The 13895-nt window shown below is 41.8% G+C and overlaps 1 protein-coding gene and 1 non-coding gene across 3 annotated transcripts in view; both read left to right on the top strand.

Annotated features, from left to right (window-relative positions):
* Positions 1 to 13895, top strand: part of PINX1 (PIN2 (TERF1) interacting telomerase inhibitor 1) — a 74915-nt gene that overhangs the window by 7532 nt on the left and 53488 nt on the right. The window contains exons 4-6 of one of the 2 annotated variants that reach the window (NM_017884.6): positions 601 to 679; positions 6100 to 6192; positions 12075 to 12151. In NM_017884.6, the coding sequence (NP_060354.4) occupies positions 601 to 679; positions 6100 to 6192; positions 12075 to 12151 (249 nt within the window). The remainder of the gene's footprint in view (positions 1 to 600; positions 680 to 6099; positions 6193 to 12074; positions 12152 to 13895) is intronic. The other variant, NM_001284356.2, reaches the window with a different exon arrangement.
* MIR1322 (microRNA 1322) lies at positions 6901 to 6971 on the top strand. The gene has a single exon (NR_031711.1). It is a non-coding gene; the product is annotated as a microRNA 1322 (primary transcript).

Raw genomic sequence — 13895 nt, 5'->3', positions numbered from 1 at the left:
TGCTTCCCACTGGTTTGGGAGATCTTCATTCTCTTATAAAAGCCAGGTTCATTTTTTTATAATAAACTTATTAGGTAACCACCTTACAAATGGGAACTCATCGATTCAGGGGACTTAAGGTTCTTCCTCCTCCCCTTCCTCAGAGTTTTGTAAAATTGGAGTTGATGCAAGTCATTAGAAGATTTTAATTCTACCAAGCAAAGAAGAGCATTTTTTTGTCCCGCATGGTTCTTGTCCTTTCAACTATGGAATTTCCCCTAGTGAGAAAAAAATAGTCATTTCATTATGTTTTACTTTAACATTTAGCACACAGGTTGCCTGTTGATTATTTACTATATATTGACTTGATCGATAAGTCATTCACATTTGAAATCAGGCCTTAAGCTTCCAGGAAGCCCCTTTTTAATATTGACCTGGATAAAGAGCATTTTAACTTTATATTATTTCTTGAATCCACTTAAATTTATCAAATAGTATTTTGATGGAACATTTAAAATTTCTTAATTAACCACTGGATTTCCTTGATTCCAAAATGTATCATCTCAGTCAGTGTAAGTAAACTACAGGCTTACCTCTCGTTCATTTCTTTGATATTTTCAGGACAACTGGATTGCCCATCAGGATGATTTTAACCAGCTTCTGGCCGAACTGAACACTTGCCATGGGCAGGAAACCACAGGTAGGGAAATCAGATGACATAAGTTCTCAATGCAAATATGTTTATCTACTTTTTGTTTTTTGCTTTTATTATTTTTAGTTGACACATAATTATACATATTTATTGAGTATAGTGTGATATGTCAATACCTGTGCACAATTTGTAATGTACACATGTGTTATGTTCATCAACGTAATTAGCATATATATCACTTCAGACATTTATTATTTGTGTTGGGAGCATTTAAAATCTGTTCTTCTAGCTATTTGAAAATATAAAATAAAATATTATTTATTATAGTCACCCTACAGTGCTATAGAACACTAGAGCTTTTTCCTCTTATGTAGTGGGACTTTTATATCCATTAGCCAATCTTTAGCTGTTCCTACATAGCTGTTTTCCTTACGCAGCTCTAATAACCACTATTCTGCTGTCTACTTTTATGAGCTCAACTCTTTTAGCTTTTCCATATGAACGAGAATATGTGATATTTATCTGTGCCTGGCTTATTTCACTTAATGTCCTCCAAACTCAACCATGTTGCCTCAAATGAAAAACTCTCATTCTTTCGTAAGGGTAAATAGTATTCCGTGGTGTGTATGCACCACATGTTTCCCAGTTCATGTGTTGGTGGACACTTAGGTTGATTCCATATCTTGGCTGTTGTGAATAGTGCTGCAGTGAACGTGGGTTTGCAGGTACCTCTGCAACATGCTGATTTCCTTTCCTTTGGGTAATGCCTGGGAGTGGATTGCTGGATCATATAGTAGTTCTATTTTTAACTTTTTGAGGAGCTGCCGTACTGTTTTCTGTAGTGGCTACATCAACAGTGCATAAGAGTTCCAATTTCTCCATATCCTAACCAGTAATTATCTTTTATAATTTTGATAATAGCCATCCTAATGGGTGTGAGATGATGTCTCATTGTGATTTGGATTTCCATTTCCCTAATGACTGATGTTAAGCATCTTTTCATCGCTTATTGGCCATTTTTATATCTTCTTTGAAGAAGTGTCTAAGTACTTTGCCCATTTTTTAATTGGATTTTGTTGTAATCTGCAAGCATTTTTATAAACATTCTTGTTTATGAACAGTCTATTCCTTGTGTGTCATGTGTGAATAATCAAAAGATATTTGGTAGATTGAAAGAATTTTGTGGAGTGAAATAATGAATTAGACTTGAGTTCAGCAAACATTTATTGAGCTGTGTGCTGGGTACTAGTTTAGGTGTGAGGATCTGCAGAGGTATAAGACACAGTCCTGCTTGGAGGTAGCTAGCAGAATATGCTGGTAATTACCTGGTAAAATCACAGCACACATCTAACCATAGGAAGGTTTATTGCAGTGACGTGTGTGGAAGTGAGCCCAACAGTGTGAAGGGAAAGGTGCTTTGTTGGTATTTTTTCTAACCAGATTGGACTTTTTGTTGGAATGTATAACTTGGACAGTTTTCCTTATCCATAGGATCATGATTTTGAAATAACCTAACAGTTCTGTGTGTGGTCCTAATATGAAGGGCAATAATTTATTAGCAGAAGAAAAAGATAAGGAAAATGTTTTCTGAAAATACTGAATGACTCATATTAGGAAATGCAGGATCTATGAAGTAGTAAAGTTCAAGGACACTATTCCTTACTAATTATACACAGAAAACATCTTGATATTTACGATCACAGTTGAACTCAGTAGAAACACAGATAAGAATGTAAGCTTGGCTGGGCACGGTGTAATACCAGCACTTTGGGAGGCTGAGGCGGGCGGATCACCTGAGGTCGGGAGTTTGAGACCAGCCTGACCAACATGGAGAAACCCTGTCTCTCCTAAAAATACAAAATTAGCTGGGCGTGGTGGCGTATGCCTGTAATCCCAGCTACTTGGAGGCTGAGGCAGGAGAATCGCTTGAACCTGGGAGGCGGAGTTTGTGGTGAGGCGAGATCACGCCATTGCACTCCAGCCTGGGCAACAAGAGTGAAACTCCATCTCCAAAAAAAAAAAGAATGTAAGAATGTAAGCATGAACATATAAGACTTGGAGATTAAATAGAATGCAGTGGTTTAGAGACAAACACCAGAGTTAGACTGCCTGGATTTTAATCCTGGTCTGACTTTTCATTTGTATGACATTCGGTAAATTGCTGAACATGGCTGTACCTCGATTTCCTCTTTGGTTAAATGGAAGCAGTAGTATCATCTTTGGAAGGTTGTTGTGAGGACTAAATGCATTATAACATCTAAGAAAAGCAAGCAGAGATACTCAGCACTGTAAGCCTCCTGATAGTGTGGCTGGCAAATCTAGAGCCATAAACCACGATTAAGGCCAGAAAATTTACTTTACTCTGAAGGATTTCATAAAGAATCTAGGGTTTTATTTTCTCTCTCTCTTTTTTTTTTTTTTTTTTTTGAGATGGAGTCTTGCTCTGTGGCCCAGGCTGGAGTGCAGTGGCACAATCTTGGCTTACCGCAACCTCCGCCTCCCGGGTTCAAGCGATTCTCCTGCCTCAGCCTCCTGAGTAGCTGGGATTACAGGTGCACACCACCACGCCTGGCTAATTTTTGTATTTTTAATAGAGACGGGGTTTCACCATGTTGGTCAGGCTGGTCTCCAACTCCTGACCTTGTGATCCACCCACCTCAGCCTCTCAAGGTGCTGGGGTTACAGGCTTTAGCCACTGCACCTACCCTCATGATTAGTAGATCACAGTGAATAAAATTAGCAGATCTGTTATACATTTTAATGAATGCTTATTAAACACATCTCTTTGGCAGTGCACCTCCTGATGAGCTGGGTTAGCGTAGGGGTGTGAGGGCCGGGCCAGCTGCTTTGATTGCTGCTTTGACAACAGTATTTTCCCTTGTCCCTCATTGATCCCGGTAAGAGGAAAGTTGTGCCTTTCCTTTGTAAAGTGGGAGGGGATACCCGGGAAAGGACGGCCAGATTGGTGCATAAGTCAGACTCCGAGCAGTTTCAGGCATGAGTGCACGTGAACAAATAGATAGAAAGTGATTCCTCAAGGCCTGGCGGTGCTCACGCATCCTTCTTGATACCTGCATGCTGAGAAGGTAGAGACGCTCACCAGGTGATTCTTCTGCCCTCTCAAGGCTGAGAGAGCTGCTCTGTGAGGGCACGGCGTGGTGCTTCAGGATGTGGCCTCTGCGTCATGTCTGCCTGGGCTTCGGTCCCATCGCGGGGGCTTCCTGGGTGTGCCTTATCAGTGTCGTCCTCTGTAGTGAGTTCAGGCATCACAGCAGCTCTCTTATGGAGTGGCTGTGGGAAGGAAATCCAAGAATTCATGGAAAGCCTCCAGTCCAGCGCCTCGTCCCTCATACACTTGCAGTCGGTAGGAGCCGCTTTAAGCTGATAACTTCCTCTGTGATTTGTGATTGGAACATCAGCATTGAAAATGTTATGTGCCATATGAAGTGCAAAAGAGAAGAATTTACTGGTAGGATGTCTTTGCAAAAAATCCAAGGTGTCCCTGGGAAGTGGCTGCAGAAGAGAATGTTTCAGCTTGTGGAAATAATGAGCCCGTGCTGGGCTTTGCCTCAAGTGCGGAACATCTGCCTTCACGTTCTTTCGAGCCTGCTGTATAGTTCCCATAGGGAACTATACCTTTGAAATAAGTGACTCCTGGGAGGGGTTGCAGTGCAGTCACATGTTGTTGAATGGACACGTGCTTGTTTCGCTCCACTGTCAGGGTGAGAGTTTCTTTTTTTCCAATTTCTCTTATATCCTCTGAAGAAGGTTGGTTTGTTGGATTTTTTTTTTTTTTTTTTTTGAGATGGAGTCTCGCTCTGTCACCCAGGCTGGAGTGCAGTGGCGTGATTTCGGCTCGCTGCAAGCTCTGCCTCCCAGGTTCACGCCATTCTCCTGCCTCAGCCTCCTGAGTAGCTGGGACTACAGGTGCCCGCCACCACGCCCGGCTAATTTTTTTTTTTGTATTTTTAGTAGAGACGGGGTTTCACCATGTTAGCCAGGATGGTGTCGATCTCCTGACCTCATGATCTGCCTGCTGCGGCCTACCAAAGTGCTGGGATTACAGGCATGAGCCACCGCGCCCGGCTGCTTTTTTTCCAGTTTCTCTAACCTCATATCTGAATGTTCTTAAAACTGTAGGAAAATTTAGTCTCTCTTCTGCCTATGATCGTTTCTGTGGCACTCTTCTGTCTGAACTTGACAAGCAGATACAGGTGAGAGAATGCAGGTGGCTAGCTAATTTATAATTGACTCTAACCCCAGATCAACCTGCTCTGATCAACCTTTCAGGCAAGGACCTACTTTCTGGCTCACATTTTCCCTTCCGTCAAAGGCGTTACCACTCGGATGTCTTCCTCAATGGTGTGTTCCTGCTCCTTTTGCCCTTCCAGTTGTCCTTCCCGAAACCCTGAAAAGGTGGCTTGGAGCTATTGCTGCTCCTCCATGCGTCACCTAATCGTCATCTCTGATCTGTATTTAGGTGATCATTTAACCTGTCTTACCTTTATTTACTTTTTAAAGGAACTTTTTATTTTGAAATAATTACAGGCTTGTAGGAATTCGCAAAATAATTCAGAGAGTCCTGAACGTCTTTCCCCCTGTTCTCCCAGGGTGGAGAGACATTACATTGCTGTGGCTTTTCGCAACCGGGAAGTTGACATTTGGTGTTACTGTCAACTGCACCACAAACCTTAGCCAGTTTTCATCATCTTTTTTTGGTCTCCATTCATTTGTACATGGGCGGATGGTTCTGTGCAATTTTATCACAAGTGCAGATTCATGCAGCAACCACAATGGTGAAGATACAGGATTGGCCACCACGGCACAGCAACCTCATGCCTCATCTTTGTATTTGTACCCACTGTACCTTCATCCTTGTCCCCTCGAAACCATTCATCTGTCCTCTCTCTCTGTAGTTTTGTCATGTCGAGAATGTTCTGTAGATGGAGTCATATGTTATGTTTGTAGATGGACCTCTGACTAAGCACAATGCCCTGGAGTTTGTTTTGGCCATTGCGGTGGCAGCGGCCGCCGCTCTTTACTGTGGAGTGGTATTCCACTGTAAGGATGGCCCAGGGGTTGCTCAGCTGTTCATGCATTCACACGTTGAAGGACTTGGGGGTGATTTTTGGTATTTTGCTATGATGAATAAGGCTAATGTGAACATTTGTGTCTAGGTTTTGTGTGAACACAAGTTTCCATTTCTTCCTCAAGGATTTTCTAAATTTCTGGAGGGCAGCCTGGCCTGATCCATAGTATGCAAATTAAGGAAATATTTCTAATCATTTGACTCCTAGAAAGAAAACAGAGATCCAGCAGAAGGGTGCTGTTGCAGAGCAAATGAATGAAAGAGTTCAATCATTAATGATAGGGCTCCTAAAATTTTCTTTCAAGACTATCCACTGTTAGGAGAATAAATGAGATTGGATTAGAAAGACTTTAATGTATTTTTTTCATCTTTTTTAAAGATTCCTCGGACAAGAAGGAAAAGAAATCTTTTAGCCTTGAGGAAAAGTCCAAAATCTCCAAAAACCGTGTTCACTATATGAAATTCACAAAAGGTAAGATTAAGCATTTCTTTACTTGTTATTGAAATCTACGTGTTTGTCCTGAGTTGCTTGAAGCATTTTAGCTCTGGGCCAATAGCGACTTCATGCTTTATGGACAGCTCCGACTGCATTGCTGTGAAACAGCGCTGGAGTCTTCGCATTGACTGTGGTGTGCCTGAGGATCTTGTTAGAATTCAGATCTAGGAGATCTGAGATGGGACCCAGATTAGGTTTTAGACTGTAAACAAGTCCTGTGGCTGAGCTAAAAAATGGAATCAGCTTATATTTAGAGGAAAACGGGACTTTATGTAGCTAGGTCAGAAAATAATTTTAATTTCTTGCCCAACATTTTTAGCTGCATGGTGTTTTTTCACAGCTGAAAGTTGGTGTTAAATAGCTTTTAATACGCCAGGTTAGAGAATTATGCTCTATATTGATACCTCCAGTGTGATAAAGCACACTCCCTGGTTGACCCTTTATTCCACGTAATTTCTCCATTTCACAGCGTAGGCATTCCATAGTCATTGCCAAGTCGGGTAAAAAGCCGTTTGAGACCTGGGTGAGAATTCCTATTCCTTCATCACCACCTCCCTAGCCCCTTCCCAGTATGTGAAATCATTTGTGCATGCGGTTGTTGTCTTCAGCCACTAGGTGGCGATCTTGCATTGGAAAGAAGCAATTTAACCTAATAGAACCAACTCCCCAGTTTGTCTGTAGAACAGTATCATGAATTAGAAACCTACTTATTACATAGTTTACATAAGAAGCGTGATGATGCTGCTGATGCTGTAATATCTAGTCTCTGTTGATGGTTCTTTCCTGGGAGGTTGGATGTGTTTCTACCTTGATATGCCAGGAACAGCACATCTCTGCTTTGGTCTTCTAGGAATGTCATGCGTATCAGGGCATTGCTGGGAAGCTCTTAACTTGTACAGCCAGCCTGGATAGCAGTGGGAGCTGGAATCCCCACTACTCTGAAGTATTGATGATGCTTTTCATTTAGGGCCAGGAGCCCAAAAGTGAGGGCTGGGTTTGGTTGAGGTGAGAGGCCGTGGCAGAGCTGAGTGGATTGGGGATTGTGTGCAGGGAGAGGCTGGGCCTCCCTTCCCTCTCCAGCAGCCGTGGCTCTTCCGCTTCCTCCGTTCTTTCTCTCACATGGAACTTTCTTGGCTGTCGCCCGTATCCCTTCTGACTGGGGTTCTTCTCCACCCCAGCGTGCTATGGAACAGAATACAGGCTTCCTTGGCCCTCAGTCCTTTTGAAGAGAGGGTACATGCTCACTTCATACCCAGTCCCTGAAATAGCATTTCTTCTTTCATTAGACTGTAGAGAAAAACTAGAGATCACAGAAGGTGCTGTTGCAGAGCAAATTAATAAAACTCAGTGACCTGTAACTTTCGGATGATGTGGCAGCCTTTTACGCTTTCACTTTTACAGGTAGAATCTTCTAATTTTCCTTTGATGCCAGACTGCATGCATGATTTCATCTGAAGCATTTGCTGAGGCTGGGATAAGCCTCTGTAATCTGCTTTAATCTAATGGATGCCGGGAGCATCTGCTTTCTATTTCTAGTTAAGCCACTCCTTTGCTGGGTGACCCTGTGAGACCGCTGAGTGCCTCGTGCCTTCGTTTTCTGTCTTCCAGCGAGGGTTCTGTATCTATTAGCCTTGCCTGGGGAGAAGAGGGAGTCAGTATGCAGAACAGAAGGATTCTCGGATCTATTGTCAGATTGCAGAGAAGAGCTGGAGTGGAGACGGGAAGGACATGCAGACTGGGCCTACGTAGGAAAGGGAGAAGGAAGCAAAAGTCCAGGGAGTGAGGAAAAGAATGGTTTATCAGCTAGCTTTCCAATCACGGTGCACACTTATTTTAAAGTTTCCTCTAGGGTGGACTATCTTAGATCACAGAAAATCTCACTCTGGCCATTACTCGCTCAGACAAGTCACCTACCCATTTCCCTTCAGACTCAGTTTCCTCTTTTGTAAAATGTGGATACATTTGTAAGTGACTATTAAGTTCTAAGGTAGGTTCTGTTTTATGATTTATTAGAAATGACCCATTTCATGGAACTTTTGCTTTTTCAGCATTGTAGATAATAAAGATTTTCGCCAGTGGGTATGCTGATAACGACTGTAACTCATTCACTTAGTTGATGAGGATGATTCATATTGCAACTCATGTATCGTCCAGGAAATCAAACAGGAAGATGCAATTGTACATAGCTTGGGAAGAGTGAAGATTAAAATTTTACTCTACTAAGATTACAGTAGCAAATAGTGTTGTAAAATTTGCTACTGCCTAAATATCAGCTGTATCATTATTTTTATTTTTATTTTGAGACAGGATCTCACTCTGTTGCCCAGGCTGGAGCACAGAGGAACAGTCTCAGCTCACTGCAGACTTGACCTTCTGGGCTCAAGTGATCGTCCTGCCTTAGCCTCCCAGCGTGCTGGGACTACAGGTGTGAGCCACTGCACCTGGTTGGTTATATCGTTTTAGTTCTGATATATAATTATTCCTTTCCCTGGTCCTGAGTTTATAATTCTAACTTGAGCTAATTTATTGTATAATTTTAAATGTCAGTTTTATCATACTTATTTAAAGGCTCAACTCCAGCTTGGTTTGTAGTTTTTTGTATTTTTTTTTAATGCAAAAGGTCTCTGCAGATAGAGGCTATATCTGCAGAGGGGAAAATGTCAATCGATACAAAGCCATTTCTGAGGTTTTCTGACTGGATGGTGAGACGTTGGCAGGAGAGCAGGAGAGCAGTGCTTCCTCCCCTCAGTTATGCAGTTGTTGGATGAAAGTTGCATAAACTGTAATTGTGCAGCTTTATCCTGGGAATCTTGCAGACTTCTTAATCCTTTTGAGAGTTTGGGCTATTTTATATGCTACTGAAACAAGGAAACTACATGCCTAACGCATGTGCAGGTGCTCGGCTTCCTGGTCGGGAAATACAGAATTGGTATTCACAGCGCAGTCAGCCCCGCCCCTCAGTTGCACACTGGTAGTGAGGAGCATTCAATCTCCTCTTCTGATTCTTTTGACATTTAAATAAATATCAGGTAGCACCTGGTAGGTCTGACCTGTGTCACTCACACTGACTCTTTCCACTTTCCTGGTTTATGGTGTCTTTTAGTGGAGTTACCCTTATCTTCTGCCCTCGGTTGACTGCCAGTTCTGTGTGTTTGCCATTTAAAAAGATAAAAATAAAAGTATGTCATTTTATTTGTCCTTCTTGATTGAATAATGCAAATGAATTTTCTAAACTATTGAAGCTACCTACATAAACCTTAAGTGTTTTTTTATTTTAGCAAACATATTCCTTGCCCTTCACTTCTTTACTCTCGGCAGCTCAACTCTGCTTTTCCATAGAGTTGGTTTTTTGAGCCTCAGTTCTAATACAGCTTGTTGGGTTATTGCTAAACTGTTTCCAAATCATCTTGATTCCTAAGTTCTCGTGTCAATGAAAGTTTTAGTTGCCTCCCATGTGTATTTCTTGGTATTGTAAATGTGTCTGACTATAGCAGTAATGTTCCTCCCTTCCCAGTAGCTACTCTGATAGACTGGGAAACTGATAATCATGATTATTAGACAAACAGCTAAAGCAAACCTAAATAGAGTGTTCTTCCTTGAAAGTACCTGCTCATCCTTGCAGGAACTTTCAGTTTGACTCTTGGAGGCCTTTCTTACTGGTTCTGGAAATGTTACGCATTGAAGACTAATAGATGAACCAAATCCAGATAGATGTTTCCTATTCAGTTTTCTTCATTGTCGTTTTCTCTAAGTTTATCAACAGTATTTTGTATGATTTGACCATAATTCAGAACTCAAACAAATAAGCTTTTTAAATGCTTTTTAAATTTGTCGTATTTATTCAAAAGCGGCCATAATTTCCTGGTGTTTATAAGCTTTCCATCAGGACCATTAATTAGTAACTATCTCAAGGTCACTTCCATCTTCACCTTTTTGTCCACCTTTTATGTTCCTTTCCACTGGTCTCTGACTCTTCTTTCTTCTCTGTGTTCTTGTTTTCCAGATCAAATCCAGAGCAAGGCCTGTAACAATCCTGGTTTCTACATTTACTTAAGTGAACTTTGCTAAAGGCTAAAAATTTCTGATACAAGAATCCATCATCAAAACTTTAGACACATTTGCACCTTCATTGATATAGCTTACTGTCTCTACCAGCTTGACAGTTTTCCCTTTGACTTTCAGATCTGTTTTGAATCTGTGTGTTCACATTTTGACATCATGTTTTAGAACTGTGATCTCGCATGTACCCTCTCTTCCTTAATCCCTCCAGCATTCCTTTTAGTCAAATTGCTATAGAAGAGACCTTAATTTGCATTTTCTAGAGTGTCTCTATTCCAGAGGATAGGTTAGGGATAGATGGCCAGTACACATTTTGAATTAAGTACAGCTGCCTTTTCTGAAGTACAAACTGTGCTTTGCATTGGAAAATGGGTTGTGCTGGCAGCAAAGCTGTGAGGACATCTCTACACCTCCGATGAGTTTGTCCACCTCTTCCCGCTACAACCAGTTTTCTTCCCCACTTTCCCGGTTCATTTTCTGCCGTATCTGTGGTGTGCATCGTCTATTCTTAAGTAGGTTTTCTTTTGGGTCTTTTTGTGTAGGTCCTATTTAATCATAAATGAAAAGCAGGAGGGCTTAGTGTCAAGCTCAGGTAGGAAGGAGAGCAGCAGCCAGAGCCCAGAGGAGCCTGCCCTCCTGGCAGGAACAGGTCATACCGCCTGGGCCACTTCATCTGGTACTGCTGCCTAGGAAACTGGTTTTGGCACCTGGTTTTGCATTAAATTGAAGAGTGTTTTGTTTTTTTAATTTCACGGAGTCACTGAGCAATATCATATTTAAGTGCCCCAGTGATAGTGAACTAGAACCTTCTGGGTCATGACATTACTTTGCCAAGGCAGTGTGCTACAGGAAACCAAGAAGACAAGTGAGTCTGTGACGGTGGAACTCGGCTTCCAGCGTGAGACTCACATTCCTGTGTCTGACCCAGAACCTCCCTCGCCCAGAGCCTCAAGCCTTTACATGGAGTAGTTACATTTTAAAATGCATTTACCATGCCGTTGACAAATGGGACTAGATTTGGCCTACTGCTCACAGAGGATTATTGGGTAGAAGTGGAAATTCCAAAGAAGTGAATTTTAAATTAGTTGGTTTGGGGGTTTGAAATTAAAGAGTTTAGTGTTTTAAATAAGAACCATAGAGCCATTTAATTTCCTACTCTCCCTATGTAGCTTTTTATTTAGAGACAATATAGCTAGAGCAGTAAAGAACATTTTAAGAAGAAAAATCTGAAACCCTGTCACCCTTTTACAGTATTTTTGATTTACATATATTCTTTTAAAATTTTTATTTGTTGAGTTAATTATTAAGATCCTGTGTGTCAAATATGATACGTTCTCATTCATGTGCATATGTGGGGTCTGGAGCTGTGTATCTAGTGATATTTTTTCATGTGTATTTCGTAATCTTCTAAGTAAGTAGCTCATGTCTCTGAAGCAAATGAGATCTATTTTTAAATGAAGAACCCAGAGACCCAGGAATTGCATCTTGAGGGCATAGCGGGAGTAGGGTGAGCTGTAGAATTTAGCTTTCCTTGCAGTCAGTATGCTCTAGGTTGTTTCTACAATTAAGAGAATGTCAAGAGTTCTGGTTCTAAAACATTTACTTGGTTTTAAAATTTAATTAATTTTGTTTACTAATGAAAGAGTTGTAATGAAAAAGTGGGTAGAAAGTCAGTAGTTTCAAAATTGTTTCTTTCTTTCCCAAAAGCCATTTTCCTTTGAGGTGCTGCATAGTTCATGTCTGCGCTCTTTCTTTTAGGAAGAACAGTCTTACTGAAAAGCATCACATTGTTTTTCTAGGGAAGGATCTGTCATCTCGGAGCAAAACAGATCTTGACTGCATTTTTGGGAAAAGACAGAGTAAGAAGACTCCCGAGGTATAAAGCCACGTACAGTTTCCGTGTTCCGCTTTAATACTGTCTGATTTTCACCTGTGTATAGGACTGTTTCTATCTATGACTAGTACTTTTCTGACAAACTTTCCAAAACACTTTGGAGGCTTCATGCACAGCCTAGATATGATCCTTTTCATAATATTAGTGGGTAGATAATGTTTTATAAGGAATCTTTAAAAAAAAGAATAAGTGTTTTCTGGTGTTTGGCTTTTGTTCTTTTTGTTTTGGTGTGAGGACTAGATTAAACTTGGGGAAGAACACCCATTGCCGATACAATCAGAGGGGAAAATATCTCTTCCATGGCCGAGAAGGGGAGGGATTTTGTCTGTTCTGCTCAAACTGCATTACTCCACTTGGAATGGAGGTGGGAGGAAGCATGTCACCTTCATTCTCTAGAACCAGCCTGTCCCATTCTAACAGCATTTGAGACAGCGCTAGATCAGCACCATCTATAAGGGGGTTTGATGGGTATTTCCTCTATTATACAATATTATTTGCCTTACAACTAGAAGAAAAGAATGGGGTGACTAAACTACACCCTCAATGGAATGAACTCCATAATTTATTCTAATTATTAAATTGGGCTGTATAATATTGCAAAGAATTTTTTGTGCTGTTTTGAAGTGTAAGAGACAGCCCTGGATATAGTTTGAGATATATTAGGATTATGGATTTCTAAAGATAACAGGCTAAAAGTATTTAGAACTGGCATTGTCTGAGAAAATCTGGAATATATGGTTGTGACCACTGTTACTCAGCTAATCTGGTATGTTGTACTGATGATCTTTTATTGGTTTGTAGCCAGGGCCCTTGGTGACCATAGAACAAAAAAGAAGACTTGGTTTATTGATTCCTGGCATTTTTCCAGACTGACAGAAATCTTTATTTCTAGGGTGGTGGTTTGTTTCTTAATAGTAATAATTTTTAGGGAGTCCAGAATTACCAGTGGTTAGAAGTCTCATTAGATGATTCCCTGTGCAGATTGGGACTGAATTCCTGGGTCTTTTAGCCCCTGTCTGCCCCTGCACCCTCAGCAGATGGAAGCAGCAGGCTGGGAAAGGATACCTGGCTTTGGTGCCTGCGCGGACTATGCTGAGTCACGGGATAGGCAGTGGTCACTAGGGAGGAGCCGCTCTGACATCCGGCCGTGCCGGCTGCTCCTTCACAAGGGGCTGCTGGAAAGAGCCATGGTCAGACAGGCTGGCTTCTGGTTGTACCTCTGCCCTCAGTGCTCACCGTGAGACCTGGACTACGCCACTCTTCCTTGTTCACCAAGGACATGGCCTCTGGCTTATCCCAGCCTCCTCTCCAACCCCTCTTCCTTGACTCTCTCAGTCGTCTCCGTGTCCTCAGGAAGAACTAGAATTCCAGTCCCGCGCCTCTTGAACTCCATCTCCTTTGCTCTGCCCAACAGCTGCCCCCACCCCACGATCACACCCTGAGCCTTTGTATCAACTCCACGTCCCTCCCATACCTTGAGATAACCCCCATCTCCCCAGCCCCGTGGGGCTCACGTGCCTTCTGTACTGGCGTTTCCACATCCCTGCACGTTGATCCTCTCTTCTGCCTGCTGCTCACCCACCACCCCCAGCCTTTGCCCTCCCGGACACCCTCTATGAAAATGTACAGTTGAACAGATCAGGGAGGGAAATGTTACTTGTGGGCTTTTGTAGAACTTTAAGAGAATTTATGTGTTTGGTGCAGAAAGCTCTTAGTTGTAAGAGAT

This window comes from Homo sapiens, chromosome 8, assembly GCF_000001405.40.
Source record: "Homo sapiens chromosome 8, GRCh38.p14 Primary Assembly".
NCBI lineage: Eukaryota > Metazoa > Chordata > Mammalia > Primates > Hominidae > Homo > Homo sapiens.
This window is presented reverse-complemented; position numbering and strand designations above follow the sequence as displayed.